Source organism: Homo sapiens, chromosome 4 (assembly GCF_000001405.40).
Source record: "Homo sapiens chromosome 4, GRCh38.p14 Primary Assembly".
Taxonomy (NCBI): domain Eukaryota; kingdom Metazoa; phylum Chordata; class Mammalia; order Primates; family Hominidae; genus Homo; species Homo sapiens.
Window position 1 is genome coordinate 26,689,116 of NC_000004.12, and position 21,785 is coordinate 26,710,900.

Sequence of the window (21,785 nt, forward strand, 5' to 3'; positions counted from 1 at the left end):
TTTAAGAGAGAATATAAACTTAAATAAGCATCTTCAAGAAGGTTTATCATATGTTCCAAGAGCTAAAGTATAAAGACTTTATAAGACTTATTTATAAAGTTAAAATTTTAAATAACCCCAGAAACAATTTTAAGAGATTCCTGTGATTTCAAATGCATAATTAAAATTTTTTGTTTTTTTAAGTAGTGGACTTAAAATTCCATTTTAATATAAAGTTAGTTATTAATTAAAAGTTGGAGAATACAAAAATCTTCTTCTAAAAGTTTATGTAGCTAATATGTAGCCCTGTACCTAATTCTTAGTACTCAGTAAATTTTTGAATATACAGGTGTATCTCACTTTATTGTGCTTTATTGTGCTTCACAGATATGTTATTTTTACAAATTGAAGGTTTGTGGCAACCCTGCATTGAGCAAGTCTATCAGCACCATTTTTTTCAACAGCATGAGCTTGTTTCATATTTCTGTGTCACATTTTGGTAATTCTTAACAATATTTCAAACTTTATTATTATATCTGATTTAGTAATCTGTGATTAGTGATCTTTGATGTTACTACTGTAATTATTTTGGAATGCCACAAACTGCACCCTTAAGATGGCAAACTTAATTGATAAATGCATGTGTTCTGATTGTTCTACCAACTGGCCATTACCCATTTCTCTCCCTTTCCTCAGTCCTTTCTATACACTGAGACACAACAATATAGAAATTAGGCCAATAATAACCCTGTGGTGGCCTTGAAATGTTGAAGTGAATGGAAGTTACATGTCTCTGGCTTTAAATCAAAAGCTAGAAATGATTATGCCTAGTGAGGACGGCATGCCCAAAGCCAAGATAAGCCAAAAGCTAGGCCTCTTGCACCAAACAGCCAAGTTGTAAATGCAAACGAAAAGTTTTTGAAGGAAATTAAAAGTGTTACTCTAGTGAACACGTGAGTGATAAGAAAGGAGAACAGCCTTGTTGCTGATATGGAGAAAATTTTAGTAGTCTGAATAGAAGATCAAACTAGCCATGACATTCCCCTAAACCAAAGCCTAATCCAGAGCAAGGCCCTAAATCTCTTCAATTTTATCAAGGCTGAGAGAGGAGAGGAAGCTGGAGAAGAATAATTGAAAGCTAGCAAAGGTTGGTTTATGTGGTTGAAGGAAAAATGCCATCTCCATAACTTAAAAAATGCAAGGTGAAGCAGCAAGTGTTGATGTAGCAGCTACAGCAAATTGTCCCTGTCTAGCAAAGATCATTGTTAAAGGTGGCTACACTAAACAACAGATTTTTCAGTGTAGATGAAACAGCTTTCCATTGGAAGAAAATGCCATCTAGAACTTTCATAGCTAGAGAGGAGAAGTCAATGTTTGTCTTCAAAGCTTCAAAGGATATGCTGACTCTGTTGTTAGGGGCGAATGCAGCTGGTATCTTTAGGTTGAAGCCAGTGCTCGTTCCATTTCAAAAATCCTTGGGCCCTTAAGAAATATGCTTAATCTACTCTGCCTGTGCTCTATAAATGGAACAAGAAAGCCTAGATGACAGCACATCTGTTAACAGCATGGTCTACCTAATATTGTAAACATACTGTTGAAGCCTACTATTCAGAAAAAAACATTCATTTCAAAATATTACTGCTCATTCACAATGCACATATTCACCCAAAATCTCTGATGCAGATGTACAAGGAGATAAATGTTGTTTTCATACCTAGTAACACGACATCCATTCTGCAGCCCATGGATAAGGGAGTCATTTTGACTTTCAATCTTATTTAAGAAATACATTTTGTAAGGCTATATAGTGTCATAGATAGTGATTCCTCTGATGGATCTGGGAAAAGTAAATTGAAAGCTTCTGGAAAGGATTCACCAATCTAAATGCCATTAAGAACATTTGTGATTCATGAGAGGAGGTCAAAATATCAACATGAAAAGGAGTTTGGAAGAAGTTGATTCTAACCTTCATGGGTAACCTTGAGGGGTTCAAGACTTCAGTGGAGGAAGTAACGGTCACTGTGGTGGGAAAAGCAAGATAATTGGAATTAGAAGTAGAGCCTCAATATGTGACTGAATTGCTTCAATCTCATCATAAAACTTACATGAATGAAGAGTTGCTTCTTGAGGATAAACAAAGAAAGTCATTTCTTGAGATGGACTCTACTCTTGGTGAAGCTACTATACACATTGTTGAAATGACAACAAAGTGTTTACACTATTACATAAACTTAGTAAAACAATAGCAGGGTTCAAGCGAATTGACTCCAATTTTGAAAGTTCTGTGGGTAAAGTGCCAACAAACAAATATTTTGTGAAAGGAAGAGTCTATCAATGCAGCAAATTTATTGTTGTCTTATTTTAAGAAACTGCCACAGCTGCCCCAATGTTCAGCAGCCACCACCCTGGATCAGTTAGCAGCCATACACATTGAAGCAAGACCCTCCACCAACAAGATTACAGCCTGCTGAAGATTCAGATGGTTATTAGCATTTTTTTTTTAGCAAGAAAGTATTTTTAATTTATGGCATGTATATTTTTGGGCATATGCTAGTGTACTTAATAGACTATAGTGTAGTATAAACATAGCTTTTATACATACTGAGAAACCAGAAAATTTGTGTGATTTGCTTTATTACGATATTCACTTTATTGTGGTGGTCTGGAACTGAACCTGCAATATCTCCAAGGTATGCCTATATAAATAAAATTAATTCTTCATTTATACAATAATACTAGTTTGCCAATAACCTCTGTACTTCAGAAATACAGAGTGGAAATTATCAGTTCTTAAATGGTTGTCTGAGAGAAGCTCCACAGAACCATCCTCAGCAGGAAACTGTAACTAGTGAAAACTATTTTTTTAAAAGTATTTAAAGTCTCTGGTAATTATCCTAAGGTTACATAAAAAGTCATCAAAGAAGAAAACATTTATTTGAGAAAAGCTACTAAATCTCGGTAAAAATAATTTGTGGCCCTTGAGTCATGACCTGCTTTTTGCCTCCCCTCACCCCCAGATTAGCATGACAGAAGCTTCAATTCAGCCATGTGTGGCCAGGAAGATGGGGCTCCATTTCCCTCCAGCTTCTAGTTGACGGTTACAATATCTCCACAGGAGGGGCAGATGGCCAGTATTTCTTATCTCCCTCACCTCCATTGCAGATGCTAAATTCTAGAGAGTACCATCAGGAAGTTGTCAGATTCCTTCCCATAGGGCAGAGATCTGGCCCAAAAGCTCTGACTCCACTCAGCAGGCCAAAAATACTAGGGCCTCAACGGCTTTCACCTCATTTTGTTTATAGAGGGGACAGAGGTTCCACATGGGAAAGGCAAGCTGAGAAGACCAGAGGCTACCACCCTCACCAGTGTCTTTCTCACAAAGCAGAAGTGTCACTCCAAGAGAAGTAGGCCACTGTCCACAATCCGGCTCCAGGGCAAATGACTCAGAGATTTTGGCCAGAATGGGAGACAGCTTTAACAACAGTAACTCTGAAGCTCTCCTCAAAGAACTAACTTTATATGGAGTATAGGAAAGTTCCAACCTAATGGGTCTCTGAACAATGAAGATTTTAATAGCAAACACTTAAGAGTAACAAGCTAAAAGCATAGCAGCTGGTTTACCAGAGAAAGCCAGAGACAGAGATAACTAGGAGGAGTCCTGATGGGATAGGACAAACCTCAAAGACTGGCCACAAAAATGACCTCACAAAGGACCATACGTTTAATTGAATCAGACTGTGGTACAATTTATGCATGAGGACATTGTTGAAAACAGTAGAATAATCAGCTGGCAATTAGAGGAACCTAATATCTGGCTGTGATATCGAGAAAGACAGAAAGCTTAACACAGAGATCAGGGGAAGAGACAAAGAACCTGCTAAGTTAGCCGGGCTTGGTGGTGCATGCCTGTAGTCCCAGCTACTCAGGAGGCTGAGGCAGGAGGATTGCTTGAACCCAGGAGGTAGAGGTTGCAGTGAGCCAAGATTGCACCACTGCACTCCAGCCTGGGTGACAGAGCAAGACTGTCTTAAAAAAAAAAAAAAAAACCCTGCTAAAGCCAGTGTCATTGAAGGATGATTGTGTGTATGCTCAAGGCGGCATACTCTGAAGTACATCAGAGGCTTCACACTTTGGGAGAAACAGACTTAAATGAAATATTTCAACCAAGTCACTAAACAAATAAGCAAATAACAATCATGAGCCCCAGCTGCTTGTAAGATGGCTTAGATGTTGTACTTAACCAAATAAAACTTCAAAGCAGCCATTATAAATATATTCAAAGAACTAAAGGAAGCCATGCTTAAAAAAGTAAAGTAAGGCCAGATGCAGTGGCTCACACCTGTAATCATAGCATTTTGGGAAGCTGAGGCAGGACAATCGCTTGAGCCCAGGAATTTGGGACCAGCCCAGGCAACATGGCAAAACCCTGTCTCTACAAAATAGAAAAAAAATTAGCTGGGTGTAGTGGCATGCACCTGTTGTCCCAGCTACTCAGGAGGCTGAGATGCGAGGATCACTTTTGCCCAGGAGGTCAAGGCTGCAGTGAGCTGTGGTTATGCCATTACACTCCAGCCTAGGCAACAGGTGAGACCCGGTCTAAAAAAAAAAAAAAGGTAAAGTAAGGTGTGATGACAATGTCTCCTCTAATACAGAAGGTTTTAAAGAGATAGAAATTACATTTTTAAAGTACCAGACCGAAATTCTGGCGTTGAAAAGTACAATAATTGAAATGAAAATTTTACTGGAAGGACTCAAAAGTATATTTGAAAAAGCAGAGAAGAATCAGTGAACTTGGAAGACATCATAAGAAATTGTCATTCAGCAGTTCCAAGATGGCCGAATAGGAACAGCTCCAGTCTACAGCTCCCAGAGTGAGCGATGCAGAAGATGGGTGATTTCTGCATTTCCAACTGAGGTACCGGGTTCACCTCACTGGGGCTCGTCGAACAGTGGAGGCAGGACAGTGGGTGCAGCCCACCGAGTGTGAGCCGAAGCAGGGTGAGGCATTGCCTCACCCGGGAAGCACAAGGGGTCAGGGAATTCCCTTTTCTAGCCAAGAGAAGGGGTGACAGACGGCACCTGGAAAATCGGGTCACTCCCACCCTAATACTGCACTTTTCCAAAGGTCTTAGCAAACGGCACACCAGGACATTATATCCCACCCCTGGCTCGAGGGTCCTACGCCCACAGAGCCTCACTCATTGCTAGCACAGCAGTCTGAGATTGAACTGCAAGTCAGCAGCAAGGCTGGGGGAGGGGCGACCGACATTGCTGAGGCTTGAGTAGGTAAACAAAGTGACTAGGAAGCTCGAACTGGGTGGAGCGCACCTCAGCTCAAGGAGGCCTGCCTGCCTCTGTAGATTTCACCTCTGGGGGCCGGGCATAGCCGAACAAAAGGCAGCAGAAACCTCTGCAGACTTAAACGTCCCTGTTCGACAGCTTGAAGAGCAGTGGTTCTCCCAGCATGGAGTTTGAGATCTGAGAACAGACAGACGGCCTCCTCAAGTGGGTCCCTGACCCCTGAGTAGCCTAACTGGGAGTCATCCCCCAGTAGGGGCAGACTGACACTTCACATGGCCAGGTACCCCTCTGAGATGAAGCTTCCAGAGGAATGATCAGGCAGCAACATTTGCTCTTCAGCTATATTCGCTGTTCTGCAGCCTCCGCTGCTGATACCCAGGCAAACAGGGTCTGGAGTGGACTTCCAGCAAACTCCAACAGACCTGCAGCTGAGGGTCCTGACTGTTAGAAGTAAAACTAACAAACAGAAAGGACATCCACACCAAAATCCCATCTATACGTCACCATCATCAAAGACCAAAGGTAGATAAAACCACAAAGATGGGGAAAAAACAGAGCAGAAAAGCTGAAATTTCTAAAAGTCAGAGCACCACTCCCCTTCTAAAGGAATGCAGCTCCTCACCAGCAACGGAAAAAAGCTGGATGGAGAATGACTTTGACGAGTTGAGAGAAGAAGGCTTCAGATGACCAAACTGCTCTGAGCTAATGCCTTGAAAAAGATTAGACGAGTGGCTAACTAGAATAACCACTGTAGAGAAGTACGTAAGTGACCTGATGGAGCTGAAAACCATGGCATGAGAACTACGTGACAAATGCACAAGCTTCAGTAGCCAATTCGATCAACTGGAAGAAAGGGTATCAGTGATTGAAGATGAAATGAGTGAAATGAAGCGAGAAGAGAAGTTTAGAGAAAAAAGAATAAAAAGAAATGTCAACAAAGCCTCCAAGAAATATGGGACTGTGTGAAAAGACCAAATCTGTGTCTGATTGGTGTACCTGAAAGTGATGGGGAGAATGGATCCAAGATGGAAAACACCCTGCAGGATATTATCCAGGAGAAATTCCCCAACCTAGCAAGGCAGGCCAACATTCAAATTAAGGAAATACAGAGAATGCCACAAAGATACACCTCGAGAAGAGCAACCCCAAGACACATAATTGTCGGACTCATCAAGTTGAAGTGAAGGAAAAAATCTTAAGGGCAGCCAGAGAGAAAGGTTGGGTTACCCACAAAGGGAATCCCATCAGCCTAACAGCGGATCTCTCGGCAGAAACTCTACAAGCCAGAAGGGAGTGGGGGCCAATATTCAACATTCTTAAAGAAAAGAATTTTCAACCCAGAATTTCATATCCAGACAAACAAAGCTTTGTAAATGAAGGAGAAATAAAATCCTTTACATACAAGCAAATGCTGAGAGATTTTGTCACCACCAGGCCTGCCCTACAAGAGCTCCTGAAGGAAGCACTAAACATGGAAAGGAACAAGCGGTACCAGCCACTATAAAAACATGACAAATTGTAAAGACCAGCGATACTAGGAAGAAACTGCATCAACTAGCGAACAAAATAACCAGCTAACGTCATAATGACAGGATCAAATTCACACATAACAATATTAACCTTAAATGTCAATGGGCTAAATGCTCCAATTAAAAGACACAGACTAGCACATTGGGTAAAGAGTCAAGACCCATCAGTGTGCTGTATTCAGGAGACCCATCTCATGTGCAGAGGCACACATAGGCTCAAAATAAAGGGATGGAGGAAGATCTACCAAGCAAATGGACAACAAAAAAAGGCAGGGGTTGCAATCCTAGTCTCTGATAAAACAGACTTTAAACGAACAAAGATCAAAAGAGACAAAGAAGGCCATTACATAATGGTAAAGGGATCAATTCAACAAGAAGAGCTAACTGTCTTAAATATATATGCACCCGATACAGGACACCCAGATTCATAAAGCAAGTCCTTAGAGATCTACAAAGAGACTTAGACTCCCTCACGATAATAATGGGAGACTTTAACACCCCACTGTCAACATTAGACAGATCAACCAGACAGAAAGTTAGCAAGGATATCCAGGAATTGAACTCAGCTCTGCATCAAGCAGACCTAACAGACATCTGCAGAACTCTCCACCCCAACTCAACAGAATATACATTCTTCTCAGCACCACATCACACTTATTCCAAAATTGACCACATAGTTGGAAGTAAAGCACTCCTCAGCAAACGTAAAAGAACAGAAATTATAACAAACTGTCTCTCAGACCACAGTGCAATCAAACTAGAACTCAGGGTTAAGAAACTCACTCAGAACAGCTCAACTACATGGAAACTGAACAACCTGGTCCTGAGTGACTACTGGGTACATAACGAAATGAAGGCAGAAATAAAGATGTTCTTTGAAACCAATGAGAACAAAGACACAACATACCAGAATCTCTGGGACACATTTAAAGCAGTGTGTAGAGGGAAATTTATAGCACTAAATGCCCACAAGACAAAGCAGGAAAGATCTAAAATTGACACCCTAACATCACAATTAAAAGAACTAGAGAAGCAACAGCAAACACATTCAAAAGCTAGCAGAAGACAAGAAATAACTAAGATCAGAGAAGAACTGAAGGAGATAGAGACACAAAAAACCCTTCAGAAATCAATGAATCCAGGAGCTGGTTTTTTGAAAAGATCAACAAAATTCATAGAGTACTAGCAAGACTAATAAAGAAGAAAAGAGAGAAGAATCAAATAGACACAATAAAAATGATAAAGGGGATGTCACCACCGATCCCACAGAAATACAAACTACCATCAGAGAATACTATAAACACCTCTATGCAAACAAACTAGAAAATCTAGAAGAAATGGATAAATTCCTGGACACAAACACCCTCCCAAGGAGAGATTCAACCAGGAAGAAGTTGAATCTCTGAATGGAACAATAACAGGCTCTGGAATTGAGGCAATAAGTAATGGCCTACCAACCAAAAGAAGTCCAGGACCAGGGGGATTCATAGCCGAATTCTACCAGAGGTACAAGGAGGAGCTGGTACCATTCCTTCTGAAACTATTCCAATCAATAGAAAAAGAGGGAATCCTCCCTAACTCATTTTATGAGGCCAGCATCATCCTGATACCAAAGCCTGGCAGAGACACAACAAAAAAAGAGAATTTTGGACCAATATCCCTGATCAACATTGATGCAAAAATCCTCAATAAAATACTGCAAACCGAATCCAGCAGCACATCAAAAAGTTTATCCACCTTGATCAAGTGGGCTTCATCCCTGGGATGCAAGACTGGTTCAACATATGCAAATCAATAAACCAAATCCAGCATATAAACAGAACCAAAGACAAAAACCACATGATTATCTCAATAGATGCAGGAAAGGCCTTTGACAAAATTCAACAACACTTCATGCTAAAAACTCTCAATAAATTAGGTATTGATGGGACGTATCTCAAAATAATAAGCGCTATCTATGACAAACCCACAGCCAATATCATATTGAATGGGCAAAAACTGGAGGCATTCCCTTTGAAAACTGGCACAAGACAGGGATGCCCTCTCTCACCACTCCTATTCAACATAGTGTTGGAAGTTCTGGCCAGGGCAATCAGGCAGGAGAAGGAAATAAAGGGTATTCAATTAGGAAAAGAGGAAGTCAAATTGCCCCTGTTTGCAGATGACATGATTGTATATTTAGAAAACCCCATCGTCTCAGCCCAAAATCTCCTTAAGCTGATAAGCAACTTCAGCAAAGTCTCAGGATACAAAATCAATGTGCAAAAATCACAAGCATTCTTATTCATCAATAGCAGACAAACAGAGACCAAAATCATGAGTGAACTCCCATTCACAATTGCTTCAAAGAGAATAAAATACCTAGGAATCCAACTTACAAGGGACGTGAAGGACCTCTTCAAGGAGAACTACAAACCACTGCTGAACAAAATAAAAGAGGATATAAACAAATGCAAGAACATTCCATGCTCATGGATAGGAAGAATCAAAATCGTGAAAATGGCCATACTGCCCAAGGTAATTTATAGATTCAGTGCCACCCCCATCAAGCTACCACTGACTTTCTTCACAGAATTGGAAAAAACTACTTTAAAGTTCATATGGAACCAAAAATGAGCCCACATCGCCAAGACAATACTAAGCCAAAAGAACAAAGCTGGAGGCATCACACTACCTGACTTCAAACTACACTACAAGGCTACAGTAACCAAAACAGCATGGTACTGCTACCAAAACAGAGATATAGACCAATGGAACAGAACAGAGCCCTCAGAAATAATACTACACATTTACAACCATCTGATCTTTGACCAACCTGACAAAAAGAAGAAATGGGGAAAGGATTCCCTATTTAATAAATGGTGCTGGGAAAACTGGCTAGCCATATGTAGAAAGCTGAAACTGGATCCCTTCCTTACACCTTATACAAAAATTAATTCAACATGGATTAAAGACTTAAATGTGAGACCTAAAACCATAAAATCCCTAGAAGAAAACCTAGACAATACCATTCAGGACATAGGCATGGGCAAGGACTTCATGTCTAAAACGCCAAAAGCAATGGCAACAAAAGCCAAAATTGACAAATGTTATCTAATTAAATGAAGGAGCTTCTGCACAGCAAAAGAAACTACCATCAGAGTGAACAGGCAACCTACAGAATGGGAGAAAGTTTTTGCAATCTACTCATCTGACAAAGGGCTAACATCCAGAATCTACAAAGAACTCAAACAAACTTACAAGAAAAAACAAACAACCCCATCAAAAAGTGGGTGGAGGATATGAACAGACACTTCTCAAAAGAAGACATTTATGCAGCCAACAGGCACATGAAAAAATGCTCATCATCACTGGCCATCAGAGAAATGCAAATCAAAACCACAATGAGATACCATCCCACACCAGTTAGAATGATGATCATTAAAAAGTCAGGAAACAACAGGTGCTGGAGAGGATGTGGAGAAATAGGAACACTTTTACACTGTTGGTGGGACTGTAAACTAGTTCAACCATTGTGGAAGATAGTGTGGCGATTCCTCAAGGATCTAGAACTAGAAATACCATTTGACCCAGCCGTCCCATTACTGGGTATATACCCAAAGGATTATAAATCATGCTACTATAAAGGGACATGCACACATATGTTTATTGCGGCACTATTCACAATAGCAAAGACTTGCAACCAACCCAAATGTCCAACAATTGTAGACTGGATTAAGAAAATGTGGCACATATACACCATGGAATACTATGCAGCCATAAAAAATGATGAGTTCATGTCCTTTGTAGAGACATGAATGAAGCTGGAAACCATCGTTCTCAGCAAAGTAGCACAAGAACAAAAAACCAAACACCACATGTTCTCACTCTTAGGTGGTAATTGAACAATGAGAACACTTGGACACAGGAAGGGGAACTTCACGCACTGGGGCCTGTTTTGGGGTGGGGGGAAGGGGGAGGGAAAGCATTAGGAGATATACCTAATGTAAATGGCAAGTTAATGGGTGCAGCAAACCAACATGGCACATGTATACATATGTAACAAGCCTGCATGTTGTGCACATGTACCCTAGAACTTAAAGTATAATAATAATAAAAAAGAAATTAAAAGGGGTAAGAAAAAGAAAAAAAAAGAAATTATGTCATTCAAAGAACAAAGAAAATAACAAACAGAGCCTCAGGGAAGTTTAGGACAACATGCTCACCAACAAATTTATAATAGGACTATCAGATGGAGAGGAGAGAGAGAAAGGAGCAGAAGTATTTGAAGAAAGAATGGCTGAAAATGTCTCAAATTTGATGAAAAACATTAATCTACACATCCAAGAAACTCATCCAAGAAACTCAACAAACTGAAAGTAGGATAACCACAGATATCCATACCCAGACATATCATAGTCAAACTGTCAAAAGCCAAAGGTGATGAAACTATCTCAAAAGTGCTGAAATAAATATTGAATGGCATTTTTTTTCTTTTATTTAACTCACGTTTCAGTAGTTCTGTCTTCAAATATCTTTGTGGCCTTAGGCAATTCACCAGAACTTCATGGGCCTTCATATTATTGTCATTAAGCTGAGAGTTTAGACTAAACTGTCTTTATGTAGATATCAGAGGTACAAAAAAAAAGTTTGTATGATTTGCCATAAAAGGAACAATTAGATTTTTCCATAAAAGTATTGATTACAGATTGTTTATTCTTTTTAAATGTGGATTTTAAAATTCTTTTATCTCAAGAGTTATTAGTTAGTGGGATTTTATCTGTTGAAAGTTTCATAATTTGTTATGCAGGAAAATTCTATTGGTTTTGTCCTAAAGAAAGAATAGTTATATTGTCTTTAATCTATGGGTATTTTATTACATTTCTTTACTGCTACTAAAAAGTAAATTGGCCTTCCTATTTTTCTCTCTTGCTGAATGCTGGCCACCCCTGCTTTTAATCCATGTTCTACAGTAAAGTCAGAGTGGTCTTTTAAAAACACTAATCAATTCATGTCACTTGTTTGATTAAAACCAAAAGACCCACATTTTTCACAAGAGTCTACATGACCCTGCATTACCTGGCCCACCTCTCCGGGTGGATTGTTCACTTCTCTCCCTGACACTCTGGCATTCTATATTCCAGCCACCCTGATCTTTAACTTCATAAGTTCACTATACTCCTTTCTACCTCAGTCCTATAAGATCTGCAATTCCTTTTATAAGCAAGACTGTTACCCTCCCCTCTTCACCTAGTCAACTCCTATTTTTACTTCATTTCTCAATTTTGGACTTAACAGACAAAAACTTCAAAGCAGCCATTATAAATATATTCAGAGAGCCAAAGGAAACCATGCTTAAAGAAATAATCATTTACTCAGATACACCTTCCCTGACCAACCCGTCACTCATCTGCACAAACACACACAAAGTGATGGCTATCTAATATGTGCTTTTGAAGTACTGTGTAGTACTTTCCATACTTTTTGTTTATAGTGCTTATCACAGTTTATTTGATTATTTTATAATTGTCTCTCCCGGGTAAATTCTTAAGTATTTTGGTCCTTATTGTTAATTCCAATGCCTAGTATACTGTAGATACTGAGTAAAAATTTTCCTTAACATCGTGTACTTGTTTTCATTGATGGGGTTATCTTTTTCATTATTGAGAAGGAAGCTTTCTTCTTTTATCTAAAAGCTTAATGTTAGTAATTTGTAGGCTAATTGATATTTTACCATCATTTTATCGGGCTCTAGATTTCCTTAGATTTTAGTATAGTTGTAATGAATCCTTTTTTATGAACTGACTCATAAACAGATTAGTTAATGTCACACAAAGACATAAAAAAAACCCACATAAACTAAATATCTACCACTTGGCAAAAATTTAACTAACTCACTAAAAGTTTTTGGTCCTTCTTATGCCATTTTGATCCAGAACATGAAACTGTTGTGACACCAAACATATGAACACATAAATTATAATATCAGCCAAAGGCCAATAATGGCATGACTCATAGTAATCTGTGACTATTCTACTTCAGTGTGTGGGTAGAGAGAGTATACATTTGAGAAGTTTGTCCCATTTGGTCACCAGAGATAAGAGGATTGCCATTTTTAAGTTACAACTACAAAGCCTCTTTGGTGGTGGTAAAAAGGGGCTTGACAGGTAATAAATCTGCCTCATTTGGTAAACAGAGTCAGTGAGGGCATCTGTTTTAAATGAGAGCAGTAACAAGTTCTCCAAATAATGCCAGAACTAACCCTTAAGGGAGCATTCATTTTTATCTTTTCCACATGTAAGTGACTTACATGCAAGAAAACTTCTAAGAAAACTTATAAGTAACTGAACTAATAAGTGGATGCATATTTTGAGAAAAAGCAGAATGAGCATCAGTAAATATTTATTGATCTACCTCTGATGAAACCTGTGTTGGTGGGGACATCTGAGAGTGTTGATGAATGCCAGTGACTCTGATAGAAAAAAAATACTGATTCTTATACTATGTGTAAACGATACCACCTTTGATGGGCTTACATTCTAGTTAAGGGGGCAGGACACAAACATACAAAATATTCTGAAATTGTTTTAAAGTGTTTATATAAAGCATTAGGTGCTAAGTCAGTATCACAAACAGTAAGTACTATAGGAGTATGCTTTAACCTTTATTTTCCATTTCTATTAATATTTTAGTCCAAATTGTATTGTTTTTAGATTTTACATAATTTTTTCAGTCATAGGTCTCATGACTTCTCCTGCTTTTAGTACTTTGGAAATGACTAAATAAGCCTGTTTTAAATGCTGTAGTAAGAACACTTATCACAAGGTCTATCCTCTTAATACCTTTTTAAGTGTACAGTATAGTAGTATTAACTATAGGCACAGTGCTGTACAGCAGATCTTTAGAATTCAGTCATCTCCCATGACAGAAACATTATACCAATTGAATAGCAGCTCCATATTCCCCCTGCCCCCGGGCCCAGCAGTCACCATTCAACTGCTGCTATATGTTTGACTGTTTTAGATACCTCATGTAGTAGAATCATGTAATATTTGTTCTTCTGTGACTGCCTTATTTCATTTCATATAATGTCCTCCAGGATCATGTGGCCTCATGTAACTCATTTTCTTCTCTATAATGACTGAATAATATTCCATTGTATTGTATATACTACATTTTCTTTATCCTTTCATCTGTCTAAATAAGCTTTAATGTGGATCTCTATCCCCATAACATAAATAGATGGATAATTACAACATCTAAGCATCTCTCTTTGGGAATTATGTAAAAATAAATTTTCCTTATATGGATAATTACTAAGAAAACACTTTCATGGTGATACTTTTTAATTATTCATTTTACAATTAGTCTGAATTATTAGAAATTTATTTTAACTAATAAAAACGTATGTAATTGTATGCATTGTAAATATTCTGTTTTCAGAAATTGAGTTCTGTTTTTTCCTTTCAGAAAAAATTGTGTGTGTGCATGTGTGTGTGTGTGCATGTGTGTAATAAGACAGAAGAAAGCCTGTTCTTGTCATTAATTACAGGCATTCCTTTAGCAGAGCTGCCTAGCAACACAGTTGCTGTATAGGAAAATTGTCAATGTATAGCAAATTTAATATTCCTGGCCATGTTCTTGGTCATAGCCGATTTATTGGATTTTGTGACTACACTGCAAAATTAGATGTCATGTGGCATTGCTGTGTTTACATACAGATGAGAAAATATCCAGTAATCCTTCTTTAAAGAAAATCTGGGCCTATGTCCGGGCACGGTGGCTCATGCCTGTAATCCCAGCACTTTGGGAGGCCAAGGCGGGTGGATCACGAGGTCAGGAGATCGAGACCATCCTGGCTAACATGGTGAAACCCCATCTCTACTAAAAATACAAAAAAAAAAAAAATTAGCTGGGCGTGGTGGCGGGCGCCTGTAGTCCCAGCTACTCGGGAGGCTGAGGCAGGAGAATGGCGTGAACCAGGGAGGTGGAGTTTGCAGTGAGCCAAGATCGTGCCACTGCAATTCGGCCTGGGCAAAAGAGTGAGACTCCGTCTCAAAAAAAAAAAAAAAAGAAAAAAGAAAATCTGGGCCTATGTTACAAGGATACGCAGGCACTTGTTCCTGAGTACCTCATGTTAATGTTCCTAAATTTTACAGGCAACAATGCTGAATATTATAGAAATAATGTTTTTAGTAATAAGCCAATCCTTTAGTATTCCAGTGTTAAGTTAGTTTTTATTTTGCATGAAATTCTTAAAGTACCCATTTTTAAGTGTTGTAAGTTTTAAATTATGTCAGTTTCAAAATGTATTCAAACAGAAGACAACTCTTATTTAATGGAAGTAAACTGAGTAGTTTGACAGTACCATTTTCAGACTTCAATACTGAGTGGAATTTTCACAAACTACGTAAGTTAACATATTGTCCAAAGTATATAAGATATTCATAGGAAAGAATTCATATATAGTAAAAGGGAAGACATGGAGATTTACTCTTTCTGTTGTATGACGAATCTTCCATCATATGCTTGGTTTATCTGGCATATACTTAGTAGTAGTCCTGAGATACTGAAGTGTGACATAGTTATAGATATTTTAACGCTATTGAATGGAGTTAAAAAGGTCCAAATGTGTCAGATATTCTTTGTTCATGTATCTAGTTAGATTATTTGGTGTATGTTCTGATATAGGCACTGTGTTAGGTGCTAGCAAAAGAAGATATTTATTAAGCTCACAACTTAGTGAAAAATGAAGAGAAAGACAAATTCATAGTTATAATTTGATAAATCCCCCAATAGAAATATATATAAATTCTATGCAAATATAGATAAAGGGAAAATAAATTCTGGGAGTAGTGCAGAACTTAGTGATGGCTTCAGAATAGAAATATAATATTATAAGAAATGAATTTTATTTCAACTTTTTGAGGAAGTGTCATACTGTTTTCCACAGTGACTATACCATTTTATATTCCAACAATAGTGTACAAAGTTTCCAGTTACTCCACATCATCGCCAACATGTTACTTTCTCTTTTTTTGATAGTAGCCATCCTAATGGGTATGAAATGATGTTATCTTATTATAGTTTTCATTTGCATTTCCCTAATGATTAATGATATTGAGCATCTTTTCTTGTGCTCATTAACCATTTATATATCTACTCAGGAAAAAAATGTCTATTGAAGTCCTTTGGCCATTTTTGGATCAACTTGTTTTTTTTTGTTGTTGTTGTTGTTATTGTTGAGTCTTAAGAGATCTGTAAATATTCTGGTTATTAATGTCTTACTGAAAATGTGATTTGTAAATATTTTCTCCCATTTGTGAGTTGACTTTTTACTCTGTTGATAGTGTCTTTTGATGCACAAAATTTTAAAATTTTCATGAAGTCCAGTTTGCCTAATTTTTGTTGTTATCATCTGTGCCTTTGGTATTGTATCCAAGAGATCACCAAATCCAATGTTGTGAAGATTTTGCACTATGTTTTCTTCTATGAGTTTTATAGTTTTAGAACTTGCATTCAGGTCTTTAATCCATTTTGACTTAATTTTTGGATATGGTGTTAGATAAAGGCCCAGCTTCATTCTTTTGCATATAGATATCCAGTTTTCCTAGCACCATTTGTTGGAAGACTGCACTTTCTCCCATTGAATGGTAATGGGAGAAAGGACAAGCACAAACCCTTGTTGTAAATCATTTGACCGTATATTCAAGGTTTTATTTCTAGTTCTGTTCTATTCTGTTTGTCTGTACATCTGTCTTTATGCCAATAGCACACTGTTTTGATTATTATAGCTTTCTAGGAAGTTTTTAAATCTGGAAGAAATAGGAATCTTCCAGATATGTTCTTCTTTTTTCAACATTGTTTTGGCTATTTGGGGTTTCTCGTAGGGTCTTTGGTGTTGGTATCAAGGTAATACTGGCCTCACAGAATGAATTAAGAAGTGTTTTCTATTTTTTAATTGTGTGGGAAAGTTTTTGTTTTGTTTTGTTTTGTTTGTTTGTTTGTTTGAAAGACAGGATCTCCCTATGTTGCCCAGGCTGGAGTACAGTGACTGTTCACAGGCTTGATCATAGCACATGCACTGTACCCTTGGACTCCTGGCCTCAAGCAATTCTCTTGCCTCAACTCTCTGAGTATCTGGGACTATAGTTGCACATCACCATGCCCAGATCAATTTTTTGAAAAGTTTGAGAAACATTGGTGTTAGCTCTTCTTTAAATGTTTAGTAGAATTAACCAGTGAAGCCATCAGGACCAAGGCTTTTCTTTGTCAGAGTTTTGATTATTGATGAATATTTTTACTAGTTACAGGTCTGTTCAGATTTTCTATTTCTTTGTGATTTAGTCTTGGTTGACTTTGTGTTTCTAGAAATTTGTTCATTTTATCCAGGTTATCCAATTTGTTGGTGTACAATTGGTCATAGTACTCTCTTATAATCCTTTTTATTTCTTTAGAGTCAGTGGTAATATTCGCAGTTTCATTTCTTATTTTAATAATTTGAGTCTTCTCTCTTTTTTCTTAGTCCTTCTAGCTCAAGGTTTGTTAATTTTGTTGAACTTTTTGAAAAGCCAACTTTGGTTTCAGTTATTATCTCTATTGTTTTCCTATTCTCCATTTCATTTATCTCTGCTCTACTTTTTATTATTTTATTTTCTTTCTTCTGCTAGCTTCTAGCCTAGTTTGCCCATTTTTTCCAGTTCCTGAAGTTGCAAAGTTGGCTGTTGATTTGAAACCTTTCTTGTTTTTTAATCTAAGCCTCTATAGCTATAAATTTGCCACTTAACATCACTCTCACTGAATCCCGTAAGTTTTGATATGTCATGGTTTTGCCATTTGTCTCTAAGTATTTCTAATTTCTCTTATAATTTCTTCTTTAATCCATTGGCTGTTTAAGACTGTGTTGTTTAATTTCCATAGATTTGTAAATTTTCCAGTTTTCCTTCTGTGACTGATTTCTACCTCCATCTCTGTGGTCAGAGAAGCTACTTTGTATCATCTCTGTTTTTTAAAAATCTATTGAAACTTAATTAGTGACCTAATATATGATCTATCTGGAAAATGTCCCATGTGCATTTACATGGAATGTGTATGCTGTAGTTCTTGGGTAAAGTGTTCAGTATATTGTTAGATCTAGTTGGTTTATCATGTAAATACTCTAGTTGGTTTATCATGTAAATACTTCATTTCCTTATTTCCTGTCTAGTGGTTCTATCCATCATTGAGAATAGGATATTGAAGTCCACTGTTACACTAGAATTGTCTATATCTCCTTTCATTTTTTGTTAGTTTTTGCTTCATACATTTTCAAGTCTGTTGTAGGTACATAAATGTTTATAGCTGTTGTATCTTCTTGCTGTATTGAAACTTTTGTTAATATATAATGTCTTTCTGTCTCCCATAACCTCTTTTATTTAAAGTCTATTTTGTGTGATATAAGTACAGTCACCTTGCTCTCTTTTGGTTACTATTTGCATGGAGGGTCTTTTTCTGTCCTTTAACTTTTAATATATTTATGTCTTTAGATCTAAAATGAATCTCTTATAGATCACATGTAGTTTTGTCTTTTTAAATTTATTCTGCCAACCTGTCTTTTGATTGGAGAGTTGAATGCATTTACATTTAAAGTAATTGCTGATGAGGAGATATTTCTCTCATTTTTCTATTTGTTTTCTATGTGTCTTATAGCTTTTATGCCTCTCATTTTCTGTATTGCTGTCTTCTTTTGGGTTTAGTTGGGGTTTTTGTGTGTGTGTGTAGTGAAATGTTTACATTTCTTTCTCATTTTCTCTTCTCTTTTGTGTATATTCCACAGCTATTTTCTTTGTGCTTCCCGTGAGGATTATATTTAACAACCTAAAATTGTAACACTCTAGTTTAAATTAATACCAATTTAACTTTAGTAACATACAAAATTTGTATTACTTTACGGCTCTATCCTCACCCCTTTCACTTGATGATATCAGAATGTTACATCTGTGTACAGTGCGTACACAAACCCAGAAATTATGTAGAAAACAAAATGTGGAGTTGCAATCCAAAGTTACAATAATACTGATTTTTAAATAATGACTTTTCAAATGTACGAGTTTCTTAAATCATACAGAAAGCAAAAAATGGAGTTACAAACCTTTGTTACAATAGTATTATTTTTATAACTGCCCATGTGTGTTTTTTAAAGATCTTTCTTCACTCAGAGTCTAGTTACTGTCTTGTATCTTTTCATTTTACTCTGTAGGACTCCTGTGAGCATTTCTTGAAGGTCAGGTCTCAGCATTCATTTATGTGAAAAAGTCTGAATATCTCTCTCACTTTTGAAGGACAGTTTGCTGGATATGGCATTCTTGATTAATGGCTTTTTTCTTTTACCACATTGAATATGTCAGCCCATTGCTTGTGGTCCTCAAGTTTCTGATGAGAAATCTGCTAATAATTGTATAGAGGATCCTTTATATTTAATGAGTCATTACTGTCTTGCAGCTTTCAAAGTTCTCTCTTTGCCTTTGACCTTCAACAGTTTGATTATAATGTGTCCTAGTGTGGGACTCTTTGAATTCATCTTACATGGAGTTTATTGAGTTTCTTGGATGTTTATATTAATGTCTTTCATCAAATTTGGGAAATTTTCAGCCATTATTTCTTCAAATATTCTCTCTACCCCTTCCTCAATTTCTCTCATCTTTCTGAGACTCCTACCTTGCATATCGGTTGGCTTGATGGTGTCCCATAAGTTCCTATGGCTCTGTTAACTTCAATTTTTTTTCCTTTCTGTTTCACAGCCTCAATTATTTCCATTTCCCTATCTTCAAGTTTGCTGATTCTTTCTTCTACCTGCTCAAATCTGCCTTTGAATCCCTCTACTGAGTTTTTATTTTAGTATTATACCTTCCAGCTCCATAATTTCCTTTTGGTTTCTTTTTTGGTTTGCTATCTCTTTATTGATGTTTCTGTTTTGTTCATATATTTTTTCTTGATTTTCTCCACATTTATTTAGTTTTTTGAGAATCTATGGACAGTTGTTTTAAAGTCTTTCTATAGCAAATCTGCCATCAGGTCTTTTTCAAGGACAGTTGTCAATTTTTTTTTTTTTGGCCCTTTAAATGGGCCATATGTTTCAAGTTCTTTGTATTATTTGTGATCTTGTTGTTGTTGTTGAAAAAGGGACATATAAATCTAATAATGGGGAATCTCTGGAAATCAGATTCTTTTTCTTCCCAGCGTTTTTGTTGTTGTTGTTATTGTTTTAGTTTTAGTTTTTTTGAATGTTGTTTGTTCTCCTTCTGCCCAGGATCAGCCTGAGGTATAAATCTAACATCTTGGGACTTTTCTTAGCCTTCACTTTTCATTGAGCGCATGTGGTCACTTTCTAATTTCCCCCTTATACACAGTTGTTTTTGAATGACCTAGTCTTTAACATCTGGCTCCCAAAGGGAATAAAAGAGAAAATGAAGAGGAGGGAGAGCATTGTTCCTTTAAATCTTCTGAAAGTTACTTCAGCCAGAGGGGAAGGGGCTTGCAACAATCAAGGGAAGTTCAACAACAGTGTTTCCTTCCTCCGATCTTCACCCTTACTTCTTTGTTTGCACCTCTCTGGTCAGAAGAAGCAATCAGAGTACAGATACCAGACATTTGGAGGATGGGGTGCTTTTTTCCCTTTCTGGGTCCTTTAAGCTGCTTGTAAGCTGTTCCTGGGACTCATGCATTCCTGCCTGTTGAGGGGATTGGGGTGGGTGATGCATATATGCGGCTATGCTAGAAGCTGACATTGATCAAAATTAACTGAAATTTACCATCCAAGCTTTCTCCTAAAAGTTGCAAGACTTCAGTAGACTCCAGAGTTCTAAAATAATTACAGCAGACAGTAGCTGCCAGTGCAATTTTTGTCTAGGTGGGGAAACAGATTCTTGGTGCTTCCTACTGCACCATCTTCCCAGAATCCACTTTATAGATGATTCTTACAACAACCCTAGGAGGTAGTTTTATTCGCCTTTTATAGATGAAGAAGCAGAGGCTTAGATCCCAAGCCCATACAGCTATCAGGACCCCAAGCCAGGGGTGTCTATTTTCAAAGCTAGTAAGCCACATTGCCCTTTATTTTTTGAAAATTTGTATCAGGGCAGAGTGTTTTTTTTTATTTTTTATTATACTTTAAGTTTTAGGGCACATGTGCACAATGTGCAGGTTTGTTACATATGTATACATGTGCCATGTTGGTGTGCTGCACCCATTAACTCGTCATTTAGCATTAGGTATATCTCCTAATGCTATCCCTCCCCTCTCCCCCAACCCCACAACAGTCCCCAGTGTGTGATGTTCCCCTTCCTGTGTCCATGTGTTCTCATTGTTCAATTCCCACCTATGAGTGAGAACATGCGGTGTTTGGTTTTTTGTCCTTGTGATAGTTTGCTGAGAATGATGGTTTCTAGCTTCATCCATGTCCCTACAAAGGACATGAACTCATCATTTTTTATGGCTGCATAGTATTCCATGGTGTGTATGTGCCACATTTTCTTAATCCGGTCTATCATTGTTGGACATTTGGGTTGGTTCCAAGTCTTTGCTATTGTGTATAATGCCTCAATAAACATACGTGTGCATGTGTCTTTATAGCAGCATGATTTATAATCCTTTGGGTATATACCCAGTAATGGGATGGCTGGGTCAAATGGTATTTCTAGTTCTAGATCCCTGAGGAATCACCACACCGACTTCCACAATGGTTGAACTAGTTTACAGTCCCACCAACAGTGTAAAACTGTTCCTATCTCCACATCCTCTCCAGCACCTGTTGTTTCCTGACTTTTTAATGATCCTCATTCTAACTGGTGTGAGATGGTATCTCATTGTGGTTTTGATTTGCATTTTTCTGATGGCAGTGATGATGAGCATTTTTTCATGTGTGTTTTGGCTGCCTAAATGTCTTCTTTTGAGAAGTGTCTGTTCATATCCTTCGCCCACGTTTTGATGGGGTTGTTTGTTTTTTCTTGTAAGTTTGTT

General features: G+C 37.5%; 1 protein-coding gene and 1 non-coding gene across 20 annotated transcripts in view; both read left to right on the plus strand.

The window, feature by feature from the left end:
• Nucleotides 1–21,785, plus strand: part of TBC1D19 (TBC1 domain family member 19) — a 282,243-nt gene that overhangs the window by 112,439 nt on the left and 148,019 nt on the right. For 2 of the 19 annotated variants that reach the window (XM_047415907.1, XM_047415906.1), the window contains exon 14: nucleotides 367–8,331. The exons of the other annotated variants lie outside the window; for them this stretch is intronic. In XM_047415907.1, coding sequence (XP_047271863.1) covers nucleotides 367–489 — 123 coding nt within the window. In that variant the 3' untranslated portion in view covers nucleotides 490–8,331. Of the gene's footprint in view, nucleotides 1–366; nucleotides 8,332–21,785 lie in introns of those variants that run through there. 19 annotated transcript variants of the gene reach the window in all.
• LOC124900179 (small nucleolar RNA SNORD74) lies at nucleotides 13,194–13,273 on the plus strand. Its single transcript, XR_007058527.1, has one exon. It is a non-coding gene; the product is annotated as a small nucleolar RNA SNORD74 (small nucleolar RNA).